General features: G+C 40.5%; 1 protein-coding gene across 1 annotated transcript in view; it reads left to right on the top strand.

The window, feature by feature from the left end:
- Positions 1 to 25,685, top strand: part of GRID1 (glutamate ionotropic receptor delta type subunit 1) — a 767,244-nt gene that overhangs the window by 473,951 nt on the left and 267,608 nt on the right. Inside the window, exon 6 of the mRNA NM_017551.3 lies at positions 23,665 to 23,835. Coding sequence (NP_060021.1) covers positions 23,665 to 23,835 — 171 coding nt within the window. The remainder of the gene's footprint in view (positions 1 to 23,664; positions 23,836 to 25,685) is intronic.

Genomic DNA, 25,685 nt, shown 5'->3' with positions numbered 1-25,685 from the left:
AATATGTTTCCTCCTCTTCAATTTTCTGAAAGTGTTTGTGTAAAATTGGTATTCTTTCTTCCATAAATGCATGTAGAATTCACCAATGACGTTATCTGGGTCTGAAAAGGTTCCTCTGAATACCCTTCATGGAAAGATTTTAAGAACACATTCTATTTTTTTAGCAGATCTAGGACTATTTAGATTATCTTTTTTTCCTGAAGATTTTTTTTTTTACCTTTTATTTTTCTAAAAACGTCTTTGCTTTAGTTTTGCATGTATAAAAATCTAGGAAAAACATAGTTTTCTTTTTTTTTCTTTTCATACTTAAAAGATGTATCACGGACTTCAGGCTTGCCTTGATGAGGACTCAGCTCTTAATCTTAGTTTTATTTCTCCCTGCATATCGGATCTTCTTCTTCTAGCTGCTTTTAGGATTTTTTCTTTGCCTCTCTTTGGTTATGTGCTTAATTATGTGTGTTCTTCATCAAACTTGGAAACTTTTTGGCAATTATTTTCTCAAGTACTTTTTTCTGTATCCCCTTCTCTCTCTTCTCCCTCATGGACTTGAATGACTTGTATATTAGGCTGCTTGAAATTATTCTATTCTCACTAATGCTCTGTTGATCTTTTTCCTGTTTTTTTTTTTGTTTTTTTTTTATCTCCATGATTCATTTTGAGTAGTTTCTGTTGCCATACTTTCAAGTTCATCGACTTTTCTTCTACAGTGTCTAATGTGCTGTTAATTTTATCCAGTGTATTTTTCATCTCAGGCATTACATATTCTATTTGTTAAATCCAATTTGTGCCTTTTATTTTTCTCCCTATCATGCATGTTTTGCTCTATCTTCTTTACATATGGTATATGTTTATAATATTTATAATATCTATTTTAATGTCCTGTTTTCCTAATTACCATCTACCATCTGCATTATTTCTGGGTGTGTTTCTATTGATTGATTGAGGATTGATTGAGGATATTGACATATCCTCATTATGGATTGTATTTTCTTACTTCTTTATGTGCCTGATAATTTTTGATTAGATGCCAGACATTATGCTTTTACATGGTTGGGTGCTTGATTCATTGTTAGTCCTTTAAAGACTTTCTCCCTCCTTGGGACACAGCTGAATTACTTTGAATATTTTGATGTTTCAAGACTTGCTTTGGAGCTTTGTTATGCAGATCTCTTTAGTCTGTTGCTAATTTGGCCTATTTCTAAGGATTGCTGCACCTGCTCCTTTCAGATGGTCCTTTCCCTGGATTCAGGGGGTTTAGTTATGTATGTCTAGTTATGCCTGTTATCCAATGTCTGAAAACTTGTTGCATATATTTTGTTTGTTTTTAGTTGTTTAACATGACAGGTAAATTCAGCCCTTATTAATCCACCACAGCCAGCATTTGCACTCTTAATTATCATGCTATATTTCCTTCTGAATGTATGTTTTTTATCTTTACACTTGGGTCTACAAAATTGGGTCTTGTTCAGATGTAAGGATTGGATATGTTAAATACAGGGCTATAAACTCCAGAATCATGACACTTAAGGGCTCTGGGCCATGCAATTTTATTTCTAAATCATCTTTGGAAAGTTTTTTGTGGTAATTTTTTAGGATTTTAAATTATATATGCAATTAAAATTATAATTCTCTGTCAGCTCCTCAGGGATAAAAAAAATGAGGTGTTAATGTGAAACATAAGGTCTCATTTTCCTAGTGGTAGGGATAGTTGTGCACAAACAGAAGTGGATTTAAATATTCTCCTGAGATAAACAAATAGGTATTGCAAACAAAATAATTAAAGTGGTTTGCAACAGGCAAGCAAATGAGGACTGTGAAGGATCAGCTGTTATTATATTTATTTTTCTGTTTGAATATCTGCCTGGGGAGTAAACTGTGAATTAAAGGGCTCAGCCAGCTTTTAATAATTTAACAACAGAATGAAAAGAATTGGCTTTGTGTTATGGAGATAGCTACTCAGGTCATAGTTTAAAATATTAAAAATTTTGAGGTTCACTTTTTGTGTATGTGTGTGTAATTCTAAATAACTCATTTTCTCCCCTCTCCCTTTTTCTTTCTCTCTTCCTTCTTCTCTCCCTTGCTCCTTTGCTCTTTCCTCCTTCCCTTCCCTTCTTCCTTCATGAGTACTTACCAGGCCTGGTGCTCAGAGCTAGGAAGATAGCACAACAGGAGACATTTACCTCACCGTGGAAGAGCTGGTTCTGGTTCTAACTCCAGCATAGACAGAGCAATGGATTATCACTTACAATTTCCTTTTGGTTTTGGAGGCACAGTGAGAATTTACAGTAGTCCTGAACTAAATGAAAATTGTGGGTATATACAGTGAATGACCAAAAGATCCTTATGAATTTTAGATCTGAGTTAATGGAGTTTCTTTATGCATTTCTTAAAACCCATTTTCTTTTTTTAAATTGACACAATAATTGTACATATTTATGGGTGGTACAATGTGGTATTTTCATGCACATATACGTTGTATAATGATCAAATCAGGGTAATGAGCATATCCATCATGTCATACATTTGTAATTTCCTTGTGGTGAGAACATTCAGAAACCTCTCTTCTAGCTATTATGAAATATACAGTATATTATTGTTAACTATAGTTTGCCCGATGGTCAATAGATTACCAGAATTTATTTCTCCTAACATCAGTAATCATCAGAGAATTGCAAATCAAAACCACAATGGCTCACTAGATAGAAGGAATAAGTTCTAGTGTCCTGCAGCGCTGTAGGATGACTATAGCTAACAATAATATACTATATCATTTCAGATAGCTAATAGGAAGATATTGAACATTCCCAAGACAAATAAATGATAAACTTTGAGGTGATGGCTATGCTAATCACCCTGATCTGATCACTATGCATTGTATGAATTGAAGCATCATTATATACCCCCGAATATGTGCATTATGTGTCAATTTAAAAAAGAGAACACAATGAGATGACACCTCACTCATTATCAAAATGACTATTATAAAAAATATAAAAGATAAAAAGTATTGATGAGGATGCGGAGAAAAGGGAATCTTAACACACTGTTGGTGAGAATGTAAATTAGTACAATCATTATGGAAAACAGTATAGAGGTTTCTCAAAAAATTAAAATATAACTACCCTATGAACCAGCAATCCCACTTCTGGGTATCTATCCAAAAGAAAGGAAATCAACATCTCCAAAGTACCTGAACTCTCATGTTTATTGCAGCACTATTGACAATAGCCAAGCTATGGAAACAACCTAAGTGTCCATCAACAGATGAATGGATAAAGAAAATGTAGTATAAAACCAAAAGAGAATACTATTCAGCCATAAGAAAGAGTGAAATTCTGTCATTTGAGACAATATTTATGAACCTGGGAGACATTATGTTAAGTAAAATTAGCCAGGCACAGAAAGACCATTACTGCATAATCTCACTCAAGTGGAATCTAAAAAATATTGATCTCGTAGAAGTAGAGAGTAGAACAGTGGTTACCAGAATCTTGGGAGGAGAGGGGTAAGGGGAGATTGGAGAGAAGTTGGTGAATGTTACAAAATTGAAACTCCTTTTCTGGGCCTATTTCCACATTGCTCTGTTGGGTGCAGGGGATTGCAGAAAGGGGCATGTCTCTGCCTGTGACTGCTGAAACCCGTTACCTGGATAACTTCCCACTCAGCCTCTGCCTTGATTGTTGAACTGCAAACACTCTAGATTTGCCGTCCCTCCAAATGCCAGGCAAAGCTGTTTTAACTTGTCCCAACAGTTATTCCAGTGCTTTTAAAATCCAAGTAGACCTGCAGAAGTTTACATTTCAGATGCAACTTAGAGCATATTTCAGGAATATCACATCTGAAAAAGTCAGAGTAAGGTTAGCAATTGATAAACCACTTTTGGGAATTGCTTTGACCTACCCTGAATGTTCTGAGTCCATTGGAATTAAAGGAAATTGAATGAGCAGGGATGGGTGAAATGGAGTTTTGAGAATTTAGAATTTGCTAGGTAGAATTTTCTATGGCAGAAGCAGGAAGCTCAGAGAAGATGAAGGAAAAAGAGGGAAAAGAAAAAGAGAGAGGGAGGAAGAGTGAGAGACAAAGGAAATAGTAAAAACAAAAGGAAAGCAGAAAGTAAAAGTAGGTGACAAGAAAAAAGGGATGAGGAGAGAACTGAGGAGAAGATGGATAAATCTCACAGACAGCCCACCTAAACACGTCCATCACCTATAAATAACCAACCAGCCAGAGGAGCTCGAGTCACTGTCCTCAGTGTAGGTCCCTAGTCTCATTGGCAGGGAGATGTCCACCTTGTGCTTATGGTTAAATATGATTGAACAAAATAGAGTAAAATGTGAAGAAATACAAGTTGATTGATAAAATGGGGTAAGCTTCTCAAAATGTAAAGTTCTTAGGACTTTGGACTTCTCTGGCTGGTATACCAGGTTCTCCTTGTAAACCAGTAGATCTGGGAAGGGTTTGCCAGAACTGAGCAGAGAGCCTGTTCCTCCACGTGCTAGTCTTTAGGGAGAGGAGACTGCTGCAGATTGCTGTCTGTGCTGACTGGGCCCACGCTTGGGAATGGGCTGTGATGGAGGAGGTGGATGAGAGGCAGCTCTGCTAGCTGAATGCTGGGCAGCCAGAGTATGAGGGCAGGCAGAGTGCTGGCTCTACAGTGAGCAGAAGCTATTGCGTCATTTATACAAACAAAGGAAGCTGAACTACTTTTCAAACAATGGCTCATTTATTTCATAACAGAATTGTTGAGTCCTGTTTTGATGTCCTGGCAAGGGGTCAAGGGTACCTAAGATTTCCTGGAGGTGAGGAACAGTAAAGAGCTAATTGAAAATTGGGATGGTCTGCTATGGGCTTCCTTAAGGGTGTAGAAGAGGCTGTAGGAGGAATGGGATGATGGGAAGGGCAGAAAAAGGGCTGCTCTGGCTTGCATGGAGGCCAGGTAGAGGCAGGTCTTTGATGGGCATCAAAGGTTGTAGAAAGACGTTTAGTTTTTAAGTTAGATGGATAAGGAGGACTCACTGCAAAACTTCGGGCTAGACACATTGTATCCTATTGAATTAAAGCCACTGAACTTTGTCAAAACCCTAGGAAGTACTATTATTCCATTTATAAATGATGCTCAAAGAAATTAAGTGCCTTGTCCAAGTTACACCATCAGGAAGAGAAGAAGGCGGGGTTGGAAGTCAAATCCATCTGATTTCAGACCCTACGCTCATCACTTCTCTGCATAATATCTTAGACCAGGGCTTCTCAAACATTAATGTGCCCATAAGTCACCTGGGGATCTTGTTAAAATGCAGATTCTGATGAGATAGGTTTAGGGTGGGGCCTGAGACTTTGCATTTCTGACAAGCTCTGAGATGATGCTGATACTGTTGGCCCATGGATCTCACTTTAGGAAACAAAAGAACCCTCTTTGGCAAGTTGCTGTGGCCTGTGCAAACCAGGGAGACTCATGCATACCCCATAAGTTTTTAGGGGGCAGCTAATGAGATGATGTGCCTCTGGTCAGGATGACTACTCAGAAGATGCCCCTTCTTCCACTGTCCTCTGTCCTGGAGATGTAATCAGTGCCAAGCTTTGTCTCCCACCCTCTCTTCCTACTCAGGATGTCCTGATCTCCATGGAGCCTTGGTCTGCCTTGCCCTAGGTGGTCTATAGGGACCTGAATGCAACACACATTCTGAAAACCCTGTTGACTTCAGTGGGAGTTATTCTGTCATCACGTCTTTATTGAATTCTTTTATTTTCTCAACTTTTCTTAAGCTGGCCTTGCCTGAAGTTTCTCTACTGTCATCAACTTAGATTACTGACACCATGGTTTGGAAGAGGAAAATAAACTTTATTATTTCTCCAGAAATGGAGTAATGCTGGTATCACACAGATGTTTGATAGATCTAGGTCTTCCTAAGGAATAAAAGGAAATGACTAATAATGTGATTGCATAGCCCTGTATAAGTTTAGAGATTTATATAAATGTTTAATAATATTTTTCTCTGATATCGGAACTTTCCAAAATTTTACTGAAGTTTTGCAGATCAGACAAAAACTTATCTGTGCATGAGTTTTGCACCTGGTTTGCCAAAATATATATTTTGAAAAAAAGAGATCCTTACTATTTTATTTGTGGCTTTGAAAATTTCCCTTCATTATAAAAATTTATCCTCTTTGTCCCTCAACCTGGCTTGAAGTGAGACCTTTGCAGTTACTCTTTCTCTGTTTTCAATGAAATATTTCTAAGAAGCTTAAAAGATACAGAGAGTAATATAACAAACACCCACATGTCCATCATTGAAATTTTGCCATATTTGAGATCTCGTATTTGGAGAAATTGGCTGTTTTGGATACAGTGAAAATCTGCCCTGTACCCCATTTCAAGTCCCATGAGAGTGTGAATCAGTAAGGTTGTTTTGACTACAGTAACAGAAAAATATGAGTCAAATTTCCTTGAATGGTCTAAAAATTTATTACTTCACTTTACAAATGGTTCAGAGACAATTCATAAGATTTCAAGGTAGGGCAATTCAGAGGCTAAGTGGCATCTTCGGGTTCCCTGATCTTTGCAGTGTGATGGACTGGCCCTCAAGTGGACTCTGCTCAGGACTCAAACATCCAGAGGCAGAAAGGTGCTGTCTCTTCTAGGTCTTCTTCTTAGGATTCAGAAAACCATCTAAAAAATCCAGCATGGAGAACCCCCTTATGTCTCAACAACCAGAAGTGGGGCCATGGCTGTCTCTTAAAACTGGGACAACCCAGGTGGTCTGGGACCAGGCAGGACACAGCTCTGGGTCTGGGACCAGGCAGGACACAGCTCTGGTTCTGGGTATCCTGGAGGGGAGAGCCCCCTGGGGTTGCCCTAGCATGGAGGAAGTGGGCAAGAGTCTCAGGCAGGCACCAGATCTGCTGGTTAGCTTCCTCTTTTCCCCCAGGGACAGCTACTGTCCTGAAGCTGGGTGTGTCCTCATCTAAGTTTTTATTATATTATACTATACATGTATCTTTACTATAAATGTATTTATTTATCACTCTGTAACTTATTCCTCTTTTCCTTTCTTTTCTGCTTTCCTTAACTCTGTCATCCACATCTGTGCAGGTGACGAAGTAACACTGCAGATGTATTCAGTCATCTTTCTAGCTGCATGGTAGTCCATCATATTAATTCAATTACTTCTTCTATTATTTCTTTTTCTGTTATTACATCAGAGGCCTGAATGGATGTGAGGAAGAAATAGCTGAATCTGACAGTTAGTGAAACTCTTGTGTCTCCAAATTATCCCATTGGTATTATCATCATTTTTATTGTTCTCATAATTAGCAAAAAGGAGCACTTTAGAAACCATTACTAGCCTCCATATCAGTAATTCATCACATTTTTGTTTTGATTAAAGGCTTCTTTGAAAATCCAATATAGTCTATGGGCTTTCTCCACAGGAAAATGCACATACACACTTTACACTTTTTGGAATGGCAAGTCCTCCTGAAGCCAGCCATATACCCTGGCTGAATATACATGTTCCTCTGAACAGGGGAAATCACATCTTATCCCCTTCCTTAGTGCACACTATAAAAAGGACAGTTTTGCTTCGAATCAGTGAATTAAGCATGTACCTTTTGGGAGGATGTGAGGATTGGCTTTTCTTCAGAATTCTAACTTTTCTTTGGTCTTAACACTTTGCAAGTGAAGTAGAGATTTGCAGAGGTTTCTTAATTTATTTGATTCAAAATGCAGATTTTCTAAGATTCAGTGCATTCTCAGTAGAGAATTAGAGACAGCGATTCTTTTTATTATGTAGTGCATGAAGCAATTTCTCATATTTTAGTGTATTCACAGAAATCTTTTATTAAGTATGGTATAAGGCAATAAAAGAGTCTTTTTTTTTACTTTCTGATGACTGGTAAAAAGGATATGATGTTAACTTGAAACTCCATCCCTCATTTCTTCTCTACTTGTTTTTGTTGTTACAATATTCTGGTTTTTAAATTGCAAATACTTCTCCCATTGAAAATGGAGGTAGATCCATCAGTATTTTGCCATCAGTCAATTCCAATTTCATCAACAGTTAATGCCCCAAATTCTAAATTTTACCTAGTTCTAAAGATGACCATTTGCAGCCACCTTAGCTTAAGTTACCATCATCTCTCACAGGGCTGATCTCTTTAATGAGCAGTACTGATGAAATAGGATTTATGGGTGGAACCTATTAGATTGTAGGAGAGGAAGTAACAGAAATTTAGGGATATATTTCTGAAGCAACAAACAAAATAAGGTGGAAGCTGCAGAATGTTTACATTCTTTCAGTCACGATAATGAGATGATTCAAGAATACAATTCAGATTTGGCCAAATGGAGGAGAGTGCACATGCTTCTCTTGGGCCCCTCAGAAATAGCCCTCTTTCTAATATTAATGACAAGAAACTTAAGAAGAGACAGCCAAATGAAACAAATATAAATTATAGCATAATAACTGAGGTTTAGTCAGTCACAAAGTCAAAACATATAGGGAGCTATTTGGGAGGCAGGTGTGTGTCCCAGAAAAAGACCAGGGTCATGAGCTAAAGAATTTAAATTCCATACAAAAGGTTTAGTAGTATGTCTTCATGGAAGAATAATTAGCCTGAATGACACTCACAAAAGGAAAAATGACCAAAAAAGCCAGATATAATACATTTAAAAATACTTAAAAATAGAGTCCATCAAGAGTAACATCTATGAAGGCCAAATGTAAAGTGGTAATAGGAACTCCCAGCAATATGTGAGCTTCAGATTTAATTTTTGCCTTGCATGTATTTGCCCAACTGTGAAAACCCTGAGATTTTTTCTTATGATTGTGCAAGGAATAGGACGTATGAGATAAAGTCTAAGAACTAAACAAATGTGGAGCCTGATGAGAGATTTCTACATAAAGCTGGAAACTTCTATCTTCAGTGTAAGGATTATGAGAAATGAACACACTATGCAGAAGGAGATGGCAAGGAAAATGTTCAGTCTTGACTGGAGTTGCATGGAGCGGGGAGTTTTCTTCAGAACTGATAACTCCCATGCAGGTTTGTGATCCCAGTTTCCACTATTTACGGTGTCTTTAAAAAGCTGAAAGGAAAACTTAAATTTGTAGTGGTTATAGATTTGTAGTGGTTATAGATAACTAGTGCTCCTAGTTAGGTATTTGAAGTCAGCATAAATAGTTTTTGAAGTAATGTGAATCAAAGGCTTCATAAGGCAGTTTTAAGGAAAATGAGATTACGTACATGACGGAAAAAAACAAGGAAGAAAGAGAAGATGGGAGAGAGGGAGGGAAGAGGAGAGAGAGAGAGAGAGACAGAGAGAGAGAGAGAGAGACAGAGAGAGAGAGAGAGACAGAGAGAGAAGGACAAAGGAAAACGAAGGAAAGAAAAAAGTCACCATGAGTGAGAACCAAGAAACAATAAAGTGCAGTTTAATCAGATCTGAAATGACTTTACGTATTTAGAAGTATCTGACGTAGAATATTAAATAAGTGTGCTTAAATATGTTTCAAAAATAGATACTGGAAAATATGAGCAAGGAATAAAAGGCATTTAAAAAGCAAAATAGAAAAGGAAATGAACAGAACATCAGAAAATTAAGAATCTAACAGTTGAAGTTAAAAATCTTAGAGGTTGAACACCAAAGTGGATACATACGCAGAAAGAATTAGTGAACTGGAAAATATGAAGAAATTGTTTAGAATGAGGCCTAGAGAAACAAAGAGATGGAAAATATGAAGAAGTTAACATACATGGAAGGTAGAATGAAAACGTCCTACATATTTTTATTGGACTTCTAAAACGAAATATGACATAATGGAGAAGAAAAAATAATAAACAATGTTAAGGCTTCTAATTTCTAGAATTATTGAAAGAAATCAAACTCCATACTCAGGAATCCCAAGAATCAGAAACAGAGTAAAAATTAAAAGTCCATATCTGGGTATAGCATAACATGCTACTGTAGAACACCAAAGACAAGCAAAAACCTAAAAAAGCATCCAAACAGAAAAGGCATATCATCTACAAGGGAATGACAGTTAAAATGATTTTTTAAAAAAATATTATTATTATTACACTTTAAGTTTTAGGGTACATGTGCACAATGTGCACGTTTGTTACATATGTATACATGTGCCATGTTGGTGTGCTGCACCCATTAACTTGTCATTTAACATTAGGTGTGTCTCCTAATGCTATCCCTTCCCCCTCCCCCAACCCCACAACAGTTCCGGGAGTGTGATGTTCCCCTTCCTGTGTCCATGTGTTCTCATTGTTCAATTCCCATCTATGAGTGAGAACATGCGGTGTTTGGTTTTTTGTCCTTGCGATAGTTTGCTGAGAATGATGGTTTCCAGTTTCATCCATGTCCCTACAAAGGACATGAACTCATCATTTTTATGGCTGCATAGTATTCCATGGTGTATATGTGCCACATTTTCTTAATCCAGTCTATCATTGTTGGACATTTGGGTTGGTTCCAAGTCTTTGCTATTGTGAATAGTGCCAAAATAAACATACGTGTGCATGTGTCTTTATAGCAGCATGATTTATAATCCTTTGGGTATATATCCAGTAATGGGATGGCTGGGTCAAATGGTATTTCTAGATCTAGATCCCTGAGGAATCGCCACACTGACTTCCACAATGGTTGAACTAGTTTACAGTCCCACCAATGGTGTAAAAGTGTTCCTATTTCTCCACATCCTCTCCAGCACCTGTGGTTCCCTGACTTTTTAATGATCACCATTCTAACTGGTGTGAGATGGTATCTCATTGTGGTTTTGATTTGCATTTCTCTGATGGCCAGTGATGATGAGCATTTTTCCATGGTTTTTTGGCTGCATAAATGTCTTCTTTTGAGAAGTGTCTGTTCATATCCTTTGCCCACTTTTTGATGGGGTTGTTTGTTTTTTTCTTGTAAATTTGTTGGAGTTCTTGTAGATTCTGGATAGTAGCCCTTTGTCAGATGAGTAGATTGCAAAAATTTTCTCCCATTCTGTAGGTTGCCTGTTCACTCTGATGGTAGTTTGTTTTGCTGTGCAGAAGCTCTTTAGTTTAATTAGATCCCATTTGTCAATTTTGGCTTTTGTTGCCATTGCTTTTGGTGTTTTAGACATGAAGCACTTGCCCATGCCTATGTCCTGAATGGTATTGCCTAGGTTTTCTTCTAGGGTTTTTATGGTTTTAGGTCTAACATTTAAGTCTTTAATCCATCTTGAATTAATTTTTGTATAAGGTGTAAGGAAGGGATCTAGTTTCAGCTTTCTACATATGGCTAGCCAGTTTTCCCAGCACCATTTATTAAATAGGGAATCCTTTCCCCATTGCTTGTTTTTGTCAGGTTTGTCAAAGATCAGCTGGTTGTAGATATGTGGCATTATTTCTGAGGGCTCTGTTCTGTTCCATTGATCGCTATCTCTGTTTTGGTACCAGTACCATGCTGTTTTGGTGACTGTAGCCTTGTAGTATAGTTCGACGTCAGGTAGTGTGATGCCTCTGGCTTTGTTCTTTTGGCTTAGGCTTGACTTGGTGATGTGGGCTCTTTTTTGGTTCCATATGAACTTTAAAGTAGTTTTTTCCAATTCTGTGAAGAAAGTCATTGGTAGCTTGATGGGGATGGCATTGAATCTATAAATTACCTTGGGCAGTATGGCCATTTTCACGATATTGATTCTTCCTAGCCATGAGCATGGAATGTTCTTCCATTTCTTTGTATCCTCTTTTATTTCATTGAGCAGTGGTTTGTAGTTCTCCTTGAAGAGGTCCCTCACGTCCCTTGTAAGTTGGATTCCTAGGTATTTTATTCTCTTTGAAGCAGTTCTGAATAGGAGTTCACTCATGATTTGGCTCTCTGTTTGTCTGTTATTGGTGTATAAGAATGCTTGTGATTTTTGTACATTGATTTTGTATCCTGAGACTTTGCTGAAGTTGCTTATCAGCTTAAGGAGATTTTGGGCTTAGACAGTGGTGTTTTCTAGATATACAATCATGTTATCTGCAAACAGGGACAATTTGACTTACTCTTTTCCTAATTGAATACCCTTTATTTCCTTCTCCTGCCTAATTGCCCTGGCCAGAACTTCCAACACTATGTTGAATAGGAGTGGTGAGAGGGGGCATCCCTGTCTTGTGCCAGTTTTCAAAGGGAATGCTTCCAGTTTTTGCCCATTCAGTATGATATTGGCTGTGGGTTTGTCATAGATAGCTCTTATTATTTTGAGATATGTCCCATCAATACCTAATTTATTGAGAGTTTTTAGCATGAAGGGTTGTTGAATTTTGTCAAAGGCCTTTTCTGCATCTATTGAGATAATCATGTGGTTTTTGTCTTTGGTTCTGTTTATATTCTGGATTACATTTATTGATTTGCATATGTTGAACCAGCCTTGCATCCCAGGGATGAAGCCCACTGGATCATGGTGGACAAGCTTTTTGATGTGCTGCTGGATTCAGTTTGCCAGTATTTTATTGAGGATTTTTGCATCAATGTTCATCAAGGATATTGGTCTAAAATTCTCTTTTTTGGTTGTGTCTCTGCCCAGCTTTGGTATCAGGATGATGCTGGCCTCATAAAATGAGTTAGGGAGGATTCCCTCTTTTTCTGTTGATTGGAATAGTTTCAGAAGGAATGGTACCAGCTCCTCCTTGTACCTGTGGTGGAATTCGGCTGTGAATCCATCTGGTCCCGGACTTTTTTTGGTTGGTAAGCTATTGATTATTGCCACAATTTCAGAGCCTGTTATTGGTCTATTCAGAGATTCAACTTCTTCCTGGTTTAGTCTTGGAAGGGTGTATGTGTTGAGGAAATTATCCATTTCTTCTAGATTTTCTAGTTTATTTGCATAGAGGTGTTTATAGTATTCTCTGATGGTAATTTGTATTTCTGTGGGATCGGTGGTGATATACCCTTTATCATTTTTTATTGCGTCTATTTGATTCTTCTCTCTTTTCTTCTTTATTAGTCTTGCTAGCGGTCTATCAATTTTGTTGATCCTTTCAAAAAACCAGCTCCTGGATTCATTAATTTTTTGAAGGGTTTTTTGTGTCTCTATTTCCTTCAGTTCTGCTCTGATATTAGTTATTTCTTGCCTTCTGCTAGCTTTTGAATGTATTTGCTCTTGGTTTTCTAGTTCTTTTAATTGTGATGTTAGGGTGTCAATTTTGGATCTTTCCTGCTTTCTCTTGTGGGCATTTAGTGCTATAAATTTCCCTCTACACACTGCTTTGAATGTGTCCCAGAGATTCTCGTATGTTTTGTCTTTGTTCTCGTTGGTTTCAAAGAACATCTTTATTTCTGCCTTCCTTTCATTATGTCCCCAGTAGTCATTCAGGAGCAGGTTGTTCAGTTTCCATGTAGTTCAGTGGTTTTGAGTGAGTTTCTTAATCCTGAGTTCTAGTTTGATTACACTGTGGTCTGAGAGACAGTTTGTTACAATTTCTGTTCTTTTACATTTGTTGAGGAGTGCTTTACTTCCAACTATGTGGTCAGTTTTGGAATAGGTGTGGTGTGGTGCTGAAAAGAATGTATATTCTGTTGATTTGGGGTGGAGAGTTCTGTAGATGTCTATTAGGTCCACTTGGTGCAGAGCTGAGTTCAATTCCTGGGTATCCTTGTTGACTTTCTGTCTCGTTGATCTGTCTAATGTTGACAGTGGGGTGTTAAAGTCTCCCATTATTATTGTGTGGGAGTCTAAGCCTCTTTGTAGGTCACTCAGGACTTGCTTTATGAATCTGGATGCTCCTGTATTGGGTGCATATATATTTAGGATAGTTAGCTCTTCTTGTTGAATTGATCCCTTTACCATCATGTAATGGCCTTCTTTGTCTCTTTTGATCTTTGTTGGTTTAAAGTCTGTTTTATCAGAGACTAGGATTGCAACCCCTGCCTTTTTTTGTTTTCCATTTGCTTGGTAGATCTTCCTCCATCCCTTTATTTTGAGCCTATTTGTGTCTCTGCACGTGAGATGGGTTTCCTGAATACAGCACACTGATGGGTCTTGACTCTTTATCCAATTTGCCAGTCTGTGTCTTTTAATTGGAGCATTTAGTCCATTTACATTTAAAGTTAATATTGTTATGTGTGAATTTGATCCTGTCATTATGATGTTAGCTGGTTATTTTGCTCGTTAGTTGATGCAGTTTATTCCTAGCCTTGATGGTCTTTACATTTTGGCATGATTTTGCAGTGGCTGGTACCGGTTGTTCCTTTCCATGTTCAGTGCTTCCTTCAGGAGCTCTTTTAGGGCAGGCCTGGTGGTGACAAAATCTCTCAGCATTTGCTTGTCTGTAAAGTATTTTATTTCTCCTTCACTTATGAATCTTAGTTTGGCTGGATATGAAATTCTGGATTGAAAATTCTTTTCTTTAAGAATGTTGAATATTGGCCCCCACTCTCTTCTGGCTTGTAGAGTTTCTGCTGAGAGATCTGCTGTTAGTCTGATGGGCTTCCCTTTGTGGGTAACCCGACCTTTCTCTCTGGCTGCCCTTAACATTTTTTCCTTCATTTCAACTTTGGTGAATCTGACAATTATGTGTCTTGGAGTTGCTCTTCTTGAGGAGTATCTTTGTGGCGTTCTCTGTATTTCCTGAATCTGAATGTTGGCCTGCCTTGCTATATTGGGGAAGTTCTCCTGGATAATACCCTGCAGGGTGTTTTCCAACTTGGTTCCATTCTCCCCGTCACTTTCAGGTACACCAATCAGACGTAGATTTGGTCTTTTCACATAGTCCCATATTTCTTGGAGGTTTTGTTCCTTTCTTTTTATTCGTTTTTCTCTAAACTCCTCTTCTCGCTTCATTTCATTCATTTCGTCTTCCATCACTGATACCCTTTCTTCCAGTCGATTGCATCGGCTCCTGAGGCTTCTGCATTCTTCACGTAGTTCTCAAGCCTTGGCTTTCAGCTCCATCAGCTCCTTTAAGGACTTCTGTGCATTGGTTATTCTAGTTATCCATTTGTCTAATTTTTTTTGAAGTTTCTAACTTCTTTGCCATTGGTTTGAATTTCCTCCTATAGCTCGGAGTATTTTCATCGTCTGAAGCCTTCTTCTCTCAACTCGTCAAGGTCATTCTCCGTTCAGCTTTGTTCCGTTGCTGGTGAGGAGCTGCGTTCCTTTGGAGGAGGAGAGGTGCTCTGCTTTTTAGAGTTTCCAGTTTTTCTGCTCTGTTTTTTCCCCATCTTTGTGGTTTTATCTACTTTTGGTCTTTGATGATGGTGACGTACAGATGGGTTTTTGGTGTGGATGTCCTTTTCTTTTTGTTAGTTTTCCTTCTAACAGACAGGACACTCAGCTGGAGGTCTGTTGGAGTTTGCTAGAGGTCCACTCCAGACCCTGTTTGCCTGGGTGTCAGCAGCGGTGGCTGCAGAACAGCGGTGGCTGTAGAACAGTGGATTTTGGTGACCCGCAAATGCTGCTGCCTGATTGTTCCTCTGGAAGTTTTGTCTCAGAGGAGTACCCAGCCCTGTGAGGTGTCAGTCTGCCCCTACTGGGGGGTGCCTCCCAGTTAGGCTGCTCGGGGGTCAGGGACCCACTTGAGGAGGCAGTCTGCCCGTTCTCAGATCTCCAGCTGTGTGCTGGGAGAACCACTGCTCTCTTCAAAGCTGTCAAACAGGGACATTTAAGTTTGCAGAGGTTACTGCTGTGTTTTTGTTTGTCTGTGCCCTGCCCCCAGAGGTGGAGCCTACAGAGGCAGGCAGGCCTCCCTGAGCTGTGGTGGGCTCCACCCAGTTGGAGCTTCCCTGCTGCTTTGTTTACCTAAGCAAGCCTGGGCAATGGCAGGCGCCCCTCCCCCAGCCTTACTGCCGCCTTGCAGTTTGATCTCAGACTGCTGTGCTAGCAATCAGCGAGACTCCGTGGGCGTAGGACCCTCCGAGCCAGGTGCAGGATATAATCTCCTGGTGTGCAATTTTTTAAGCCCATTGGAAAAGCGCAGTATTGGGGTGGGTGTGACCCGATTTTCCAGGTGCCATCTGTCACCCCTTTCTTTGACTAGGAAAGGGAACTCCCTGACCCCTTGCACTTCCGAGTGAGGCAATGCCTCGCCCTCCTTCGGCTGGCACACGGTGCGCTGCATCCACTGTCCTGCACCCACTGTCTGGCACTCCCTAGTGAGATGAACCCGGTACCCCAGATGGAAATGCAGAAATCACCTGTCTTCTGTGTCACTCACGCTGGGAGCTGTAGACCGGAGCTGTTCCTATTCAGCCATCTTGGCTCCACCCCAAAATGATTCTTAATATCTGGATGCAGTGGGCTGAATAATGGACTCCAAAGATATCCAAGGCCTAATCCTAGAACCTGTTAGTATTACCTTATATGGCAAAGGACATTTTGCAGATATGATGAAGTTAATGATCTTGAGATGGGGCGATTATCTTGGGTTATCTGGATAGGTGTTAAATGCAATCCCAGCATCTTTATAAGAGGAACACAAAGGGAGGTTTGACTGTATGAAAGAAGAAGAGGTGATGCAACCACAGAGGCAGAGCTTGGAATGATGCAGCTACAAGCCAGGGAATGCTGACGGCCACCAGAAGCTGGAAGAAGTGAGAAACATGTCTCCCCCAGGGTCTCCAAAGGAGGGCATCCTGGCCACCACCGAGATTTCAGCCCAGTGAAATGGATTTTGGTCTTATGGTCTCCAGAAATATGATAGAATAAAACTCTGTTATTCTGAAGCACTAAGTTTATGATAATTTGTTAATGCAGCTGTGGGAAACTTACACACTGGACAGCAGTGGAAGCTAGAAGTCAGTGCCATATTACTTTCCATGTCTAAGAGAAAATAGTAGTCGACTTAGAATTATATCTTTCAAGAGTGAGATAAAAATAAAGGCATTTCCCAGCAAACAAAAACTGAGTTTATCACCAACAAACCCAAATTAAAGGAAATTCTCAATCATATACTTCAGGAGAAGGAAGATGACCCCAGATATAAGGTCTGAGGTCTCTAAAAGAAGCCTTACCAATAAACTAATGAATATTGGTTACATAGATAAATATTGGCTGTATCAAACAATAGAAATAATGTGTAATGGGAAAATACAAAGAAAGATTGAATTAAAATACTGGAGGTTTTTAGCGTGTTAGTTGGGATAATGGTGATTGGAAGTAAACATTAAAGAAGAGAGTAAAAATACTGATTAACTTCACACTTTATTAGATATGCATATTAAAATATCTAGCATAACCAATAAAAGATAACATAGAAAACATAACTGCCAAGGGTAGGTAAATAAGTAAAGATAGGAAACAAATCATTTTAAAGGGAAACAAACAAGGAATAAAGAGAAAACTCCAAAATGTATAATATAAATAATGTTATAGAAATCAATCCAAATATATAAATAATCATAATGAATATAAATGGATTGAAATTTCTACTAAAAATTCAAATATGGATGTAAAATATCTAGTATATTAGGTTTACAGGCATTCCAACTAAAATGTGAGACAGAGAAAGACTGATGGCAAAGAGATGGAAAACGTTAGAGCAGGCAGATGCTAACCAAATAAAACTCATGTAGCTATATTAATATCAGACACAATAGACCATAAGGCAAGATGTGTTACTAGAAATAAATAGGGTATCTATATGATGGTAACATTTAATTCAGCAAGGGCTGTCTTTCTATACTGTGTGTAACGAATAAAAAAACCCCCTGGCCAGGCACGATAGCTGACACCTGTAATCCCAGCACTTTGGGAGGCCGAGGCGAGTGGATCACCTGAGGTCGAGTTCAAGACCAGCCTGACCAACATGGTGAAACCCCGTCTCTACTAAAAATACAAACAAAATAAAAATAAAAATAGCCAGGCGTAGTGGCATGCGACTGTAGTCCCAGCTACTCAGGAGGCTGAGACAGGAGAATTGCTTGAACCCGGGAGGTGGAGGTTGCAGTGAGCCGAGATTGTGCCACTGCACTCCAGCCCAGGAGACAGAACGAGACTCTGTCTCAAAATAAATAAATAAATACATAAAATAAAATAACATAACCCCAAAATATATTAAAAATAGCCAATATTCAAAGAGAAATACACAGATTTTTAATGGACCTAAAAATGACCATTGACACCAACAAATGAACAGTGAATGCACATGAAACGTTCATGTAGTACAAACTGACCACACGGTAAGCTACAAAGCCAGCCTTTCCACAAAGAACCAAAGTTAGATGGGTTTGTAGCCTGGTTCTAACAAACATTCCTGAACGTGGAGAAGATACCCGTAGCAGGTGACAAAGGCTTTGTATCTAGAATAAAAAAATATATTCCCACAAATTAACATGCAAGAGAACCAACTCAGTGGAAATTGGACAAAAGCACAAATGCAGGAAAGGCAATACAAATGATTCATAAGTGTATAAAAGATATTCAACCTTATTAAGAATTAGGGAAGTGAAAATAAAATTTAACAATGCTCCAATGCATACTTACCAGACTGTCAAATATTAGGAAGTCATACAATATCAGGTGTAGGCAAGGAGGTAGAGCAACAGAAACTCCCTTACCACATATGATTATAACTTTGTAAAACCACTTTATAAAAAGGAAAAATGAAAAAATAGCAAAATATAGAATATAAATAATATGACAGAAATCAACCCAAATATATAAATTTATTTTACACTTTACATATTTGCTGTTACCTAGTAAATTTGAATATGTTCCTATTTTCTAATCAAGGAACTTTAATTCTAGATATATATCCTAAAGAAATTCTTACTCAAGCACACCAAGACACATGCACAAGACAATGTACATGGAAACTTTGTAAGGGCAAACAAACAAAACAGTCAAATGGTAATCAACAATAGGGTGAATAAATTGTAATATAGTCATACAATGTGATTGTGCACAGCTTTGAAAATGAATAAACTAGAGCTGAGCTGCACCTATCAGCCATGAATCAATCACTAATGCTTAATGTTCAACCAGTGGTTATTAAATGGTGGTGAGTATTGGAATTATCTGGAAAGCTAATGGGGTACCCAGAGACGTTGCTTGTTGAAGTGGGACAGGACTGGAGTTTTGTAATTTTATTAAGTTCCCAAGTGGTACTGATACACAACGAAGTTTGAGAAACAGCGTGTTAGAACACAGTTGCAAGAGGCATACACATTGTTTAGCTTACCCAAAGCTAAACAGAATAAATGAGACTAAACTGTATGTTATTTGGGTTACGCTACACTAATCAGAGCATGATGAAGGCTGCTTCTGTGAGGAGGAAGGAGTAAGCTTTTGAGAAGGAGGCATCCAACCAAGATGTGGGTAATATTTTATTTCTTAGCTTGATGAAAGGCGCACTGAAATCATTTTATTATTCATATTTAATGTATGTAATGTTTGTACATAAGATATATTTCACAATATAAACTTAAAAAGTAATAAAATACAAAAGGCTTATTTTGAGCCCGTGCACTCAGTGAGCATCTGTGTATGATGTGTTACTTTTGTCTGTGCTGCTGACTTGCTGACTTCTAATAGTGTTGTATATACATTATCTTGCTTCTTCTGCTCATTGGCTGCACTACTGGAGGGAATCTTTGCCCAGGACAAAGGGAAAGTTTGTTTTCCAAGAAGCCACTTGGATTGCCCTCTGCACACTTAAGAAGGTCCCGAGGTCGGGGTGTCTCATAGTAGTACAGAGACTGACCTGATGTGTGCAGCCAGGAAATGCAGCCTGGTGTGTGCAGCCTGACATCAGTGAGCAGGGAGTGGATGCATCCCTATACTCACCCCTGTGGCACTACAAGAGACCCAGGAGGACCAACAGGACAAGAGCAGGGCCTGGCATGAAACTTCTAGAACTGACTGATCACACAGGTTTGGGACTTACGCAAGGAGAAAAGTGACCTTTTTAATTGACCCCAAGGAAGTGGGGAAGCTGCTTCTGTGGCTTGTTAGATTCTGATTGCAAATATCTCTGGATTGTACAGTAAGAATAATCCCACAAGTGCAAGGAGGTGGGTAGGAGTACATTGGCAGCCAGCATACATGCTCTGACCCAGAGCACATGGATGAAAACTGGATTAGGGGAAACAGGAAGTTCTGCAAGGTACCTGCAGACCCTCACTGTGAGGAAGACATATGGCAGCTAATGGGTTGGAAAGGGAGCCTTCAAGAATTCCCAGGTGGGTAGAATGGAAAAGAAACAGTGCAGACTAAGGGAGTTGGGGGCAGGGGCTGAGCCCACTTGATGTGGTGGCTGCCCTTGGCCCACTTAGCCACTCACTCCAGGTGCTGCCCCAGGTTGCCAGGGAAAGTGATGGTTGTGTTTACAGAAACGTACTGTGCAACTTTGTAAGTCAACTCCACTACAGATTTCCAGGGTCCTGCTTGGGGTGTAGTGGGGAGAGCTCAGTGCTGCAGATTCTCCCTCCAGAAAGTTGAGGAAGCAGGAGAAGTTTAATCAAAGGACTTCTAGGAAAATGGCCTGTTATTCCTACAGTGCCCTCAGCCATCAAGAGAATATGGGAAAAACGAAAGGCATGAGACACATCCAATTCCTCTTGGAGGTGTACTGGCTCTGATTCTCTCTTTTGTGCATAATTTAAATTAGGGTCTTCATGACCTCCCCAGGTCCTTTATATTCTGTCTTTCAGGTAAAACTAACTAACCTACTCATTGCTTTTTCTTATATTCTTACTTTGTCTCAGATTAGAATGTGATTTCTCTTATTCTGTATCCTGTGTTCGGGGCAGGGCCTTGGTCACCAAGGCAGCTAAGAGCAGAGCTGAGCATGCACATCCAGGCTCAGCTGTGCCCTCTGCTCCCCTCCCTGAAGCCCAGCTGTGTTCTAGGCCCATTCCATCTGGTAGTCCTGAGATATGGACATTGTCAATTTCCCCACCTTTGACTGTCTGTCGGTTCCAATCTAATAAAATCATCTTCCCTTGAACAGACTTTTGTCTGAAATACAGTTTAGTAGTTTAAACCCAAATCCAATATGTAATAGCATTTGAGTTCTTTTGAAATCCCTGTAATTCAGTATATTTAGGAAATATTAATTATCCTAAAAGGATACAATCCTTAATATTTTACTTTCTCCCAGACCCAGCACCCAGTTTCAACTGACCAGGCTTCACACACATATCAGCTTCTTAAGACAGTTTCTGAAATACATTGTTTACCATCTTACCCTTAAAAATGTTATGTTCTTGTTTAAATGATTTTGAAACCCTCATCACTAATTCCCAACCTCATTAGCTTCCTTTTTACCATCATATTGTCTCAAAGCTAGAATGTGTCACATGCAAGGAGAAAGATTTAAGACTTATTTCAAAATGTAGCTATTTGTAGTTAAAATTTTGTCTTGTAATTTACCGCTGACTTAGTCCCTTCTTAGAAAGAGTGAACCAGAGCTTTTCTTAACCTGGCTAGCCCTCTCTTCCATCACTGAAATTGTTGGCTTATACAGGCTGACTTATCCTGACTTAGAATGGTTTGACTTACAATTTTTTGACTTTACAATGGCATGAAAATGATACACATTCAGTAGAATACCCAGTTTAGTACCCATAAAACCATTCTGTTTTTCACTGTCAGTACAGCATTCAAGAAATTCTGTGAGATATTCAACACTTTATTATAAAATAGGCTTTCTGTTGGGTGAGTTTGCCCAACTGTAGGCTAACGTGAGCATTCTGAGCAAGGCTAAGCTGCGATGTTCGTCGGCTAGGAGGATTAAATGCATTTTTTATTTATGATATTTTCAACGTATGATGGGTTTGTCAGGATGTAAGCCCATCTTAAGTTGAGGGGCGTCTGTATGTGTTAGTTTCCATTTTTGTTGTAGTTCCCATGTTGCACACAGCTACAGAGAAGGGTGCTCTCTTCTCTGCTCTCTCCTCCTCCAGTTTTGTTCCTCTCTAATCCTCTCGCCCTACCGCAGTCAGAGATTTTCAAAAATGTAAATCTATGGCTTGTTTGAGCCCAGATCCTTTCAAGAGCTCCTTGTCTCCCTTAATATTAGCATTTTGTGGGGTGTACTGACCCTCTGTTCTCCCATCTGGCCCTGAATGGGGCTCTAGCCCTGCCACTGACCACTGTTCCTTCTGCCCCACAAGCATTCCCTGCAGGGGACCAGTTGCTCTGTCCCTCCCCAGGTCATCTAAGGCTTTAGCATTTCACACTCCCTGCTGCCTCTACCCTCTACCTGGAACAGGGAGCTATTGGCAGCTCCCTCCACCTTCCTTCCACAGCACCACCAACTCCTCAACTGCAACTGTGCCCTGCCTACCAGCGGCACTTTGGCTAGCAAGTTTCTCCTCCAGAACTTGTTAGCCAGAAACAAAATCTGTATTAGTCAGGGTTCTCTAGAGGGATAGGACTAATAGGATAGAAGTATATATGAAAGGGAGTTTATTAAGGAGTATTGGCTCACACGATCACAAGGTGAAGTTCCACAATAGGCTGTCTGCAAACTGAGGAGCCAGTCTGAGTCCCAAAACCTCAAAAGTAGGGAAGCCACAGTGCAGCCTTCAGCCTGTGGCCGAAGGCCTGAGAGCGGCTGGAAAATCGCTGGTGTAAGTACAAGAGTCCAAAAGCTGAAGAACTTGGAGTCTGATGTTCACAGGCAGGAAGCATCCAGCACGGGAGAAAGATGGAGGTTGGAAGACTCAGCAAGTCTGCTCTTTCCAGCTTCTTCTGCCTGCTTTATTCTACCTATGCTGGCAGCTGATTAGATGTTGCCCACTGAGATTGAGGGCGGGTCTGCCTCTCCCAGACCACTGACTCAAATGTTAAAATCCTTTGGCAACACCCTCACAGACACACCCAGGAACAATACTTTGCATCCTTCAATCCAATCAAGTTGATACTCAATATTAACCATCACAAGTCCACCCCTTGTCAGATTCCTCATGGAAGCCCTGTTCTGGAAAGAGCTCCTGTGGTCTCCTCCCCCTGCTATTTCTATGCTCCACAGTGGATCATACCAGGATGGGATGTTGTGAGCACTAAATAAGCTAATGTGAGCAAAGGGCTTTTTGTAGTCAATATAGACAGCACATAGGTTTCCTTAGCCCTGGAACTTGGCATAATCCATCCTAGGATGCCCATGAGATTTATGGGACAGGATAGGGCCTGATTTTTTTCTGGCTGTATCCACAGTGCTTAGTACAGAACAAACTTCAGAGATATAGGTAGATTTTGTGGAATGAATAGTGAATAAATGAATGGATATATTCTCAAAATTCGTGTGCAAATATTTTGTAAAATGAATGTAATTCTGGAAGAATTCATGGAAACTCATTGTATATTGATCAACTATGGCAGAGAAACCCAGCTTTCCTTGTCAGAATCAGGTAGGTGACTCCCAAAAGGAAAGTTAGCCTTTCTGTCTTGCTAATGTCTACCATGACCTTTTATGGCATTAGTTCCTAAAAGCTTCACACCTGTGGAAACCAGTGCACCAGTGGTTTAGTCTCAAACGTCTTTTTCTAGCCTTCAGGGAAAATGTTGACTAATCTTGTTTGCCTCTAAGGGATAGCAAGTATTATTTGTGAATAAGCAACTAATGAACTGTGTGACCTGGGCCCAATCCCTTGCCCTCTTTGGCATCAGCTTTTCAGGCTGCTGGCCTAGATGCCTCCTGATAGGTCTCTTGCAGAGATAGTTCATGAGTGGATGGTAAGCATGGGCCTGGTTATTTTTCTAGGAAATCAGTGACCCGGAGATCCTGGATCTGGTCCATAGTGCCCTTGGAAGGATGACCGTGGTCCGGCAAATCTTTCCGTCTGCAAAGGACAATCAGAAATGCACGAGGAACAACCACCGCATCTCCTCCCTGCTCTGCGACCCCCAGGAAGGCTACCTCCAGATGCTGCAGGTCAGTGCTCAGCCTCTTCTCTCCAGTCCCCTCCACCAAGAGTCTCACCCACACCCTTGGCCAAGGGAGACATGTGGGGGCCTCCTATTGCCACCAACTTCAATTACTAGAGCTCTGTCATTTGTTGAAATTGAAACCGGTTGACTGGGCAGTGTCTCTGAACAGCACGAGCAGGCAATTATGCCTGTTGTCAGCAGACAGGGCTTATTGGCTCACCGGGTGTCTCTGGTATTTAAAAGTCACATGCATAGAGGGTAAAGAGATTCCTGTCTCTTATGTCTCTGTGATGACTTCTTTGTGGGAATGTGTTCATCTGGCAGGGCTGGGGGTGGAGTCTTCTTTGGGAAGTGATCATTTTGAACCTGTTTTAGGTTCTTGTTAATATAGACACGACCCTTGCAAAGCAAGATGGGACTATCCCAGCACATTGGCTGAGTGCTGAGGCTTGGGTCACCCAGGACACTGTTGGATGCTCAGCTGAGCAGGGAGGGGCAGGACAGCAGGACCATAACATGGAACCCCACCCGCATGGTTCCTTCCAAGGCCCAGAGGTACCAAGTGTTTCTGGTCAGTCCTTCAACCCTAAGTATGTGCAGTCGGCACTAGCTTGTCTTGGGCCTTGGAATACGATGGAGAGCTATGTGCCTAGTGTAAGAGGTGGTTTCTCTCTGGGTGTTTGGGAGCAACAGGGAAGTAGTGTGGAGAGTACCCACTGGCAGCCTCAAATCCACTTCTAGGTTAGGAATGTGGTGCCTCAGAAAACTTTCACTGATGCTTAGTGAGAGCACCAGGACAGAAGGAAATTTCTTCCACTTGGGTTTGTGGAAATTGCACAGAAGTTTGTACATGTGATATGCTTGCCATTCAGCATTTGAAACTAGTTCCACCATCTTTACCCAGCCAGGCATGAGGGTTAGAAATTGGGGTTGCAGAACAGAGACGGCTGTATCTGCCACCTGAGTATCAGCCCCACCCCATAACATTTTGCTCTCACTGTATCAGGGGCTGCACATTTTGTGGAAGGGAATTTGTGGAATCTTGAGTAGGGTGTGGACATGTGTCAAATTTGCCAAAGGAATGAATCTACTCTATAATCTCATATGTGGAGAGAAAAAGGAAACATGCCTCAACGGATGGTAAACATGAGAAATGTTTTCTTGGTTGAGGTGGAAACACAGCAGACATTGATTTTAGCTGGAATAATCCCCATTCCACTAGTGTCTGTGCTCCAGGGAGCCCACCAGAGTGTCTGGGGTCTTTCTAAGGCGGTGGAGGGGTGGCCAAGAGAGTGGACCCAAGGCCCCCGCATCACTCATGGACTCAAGAGCCCTGGACACCCGAGTCAGAGTGAAAGGCAAGAGTTTACGTTGAGATGCTGCTGGTTTATTCTGCCTTCCTGTATGTGGAGTCTGGAAGAAATGGCGAAGGCCAAGTAAGTTCCTCTCACTGTGCCTCTGTAGTCATGATTCCCAGCCTCCATGTGGGTGGAAATGGCCTTAAACAATGGGGCTCAGGGAGTGTGTGCCCATTCCCACCCAGTGCAGCGGGAGAGGGGAATCCCTTTGCTCTCTGTGGGGCCAGAGCCTGTGAGGGTCTCACTCCCTGCAGGGTCTTTCTAGCTTCTCTCTCCTTTGAAGGGCTTCCTCCCTCCCCAAATACATGGCACCCTTGCCTCATATGCCCTAAATCATTCTCTAGGTCTTAGTTAAACTGCACTCAGTCTCCTTGAAGAACAAAGATGGGGCCACTTTCCATGGCACAGAAGTGTCTGCAAAGGTTAGAGCAGGGGAAAGAAGAAAGTGCTTCTTGTTGAGGCCTGTGATGCCCCCTTTTGCTGTGGGTGAAAGGCG

Source organism: Homo sapiens, chromosome 10, assembly GCF_000001405.40.
Source record: "Homo sapiens chromosome 10, GRCh38.p14 Primary Assembly".
Taxonomy (NCBI): domain Eukaryota; kingdom Metazoa; phylum Chordata; class Mammalia; order Primates; family Hominidae; genus Homo; species Homo sapiens.
Note: the sequence above shows the minus strand (reverse complement) of the source record. Positions and strands in the feature narration are given on the sequence as shown.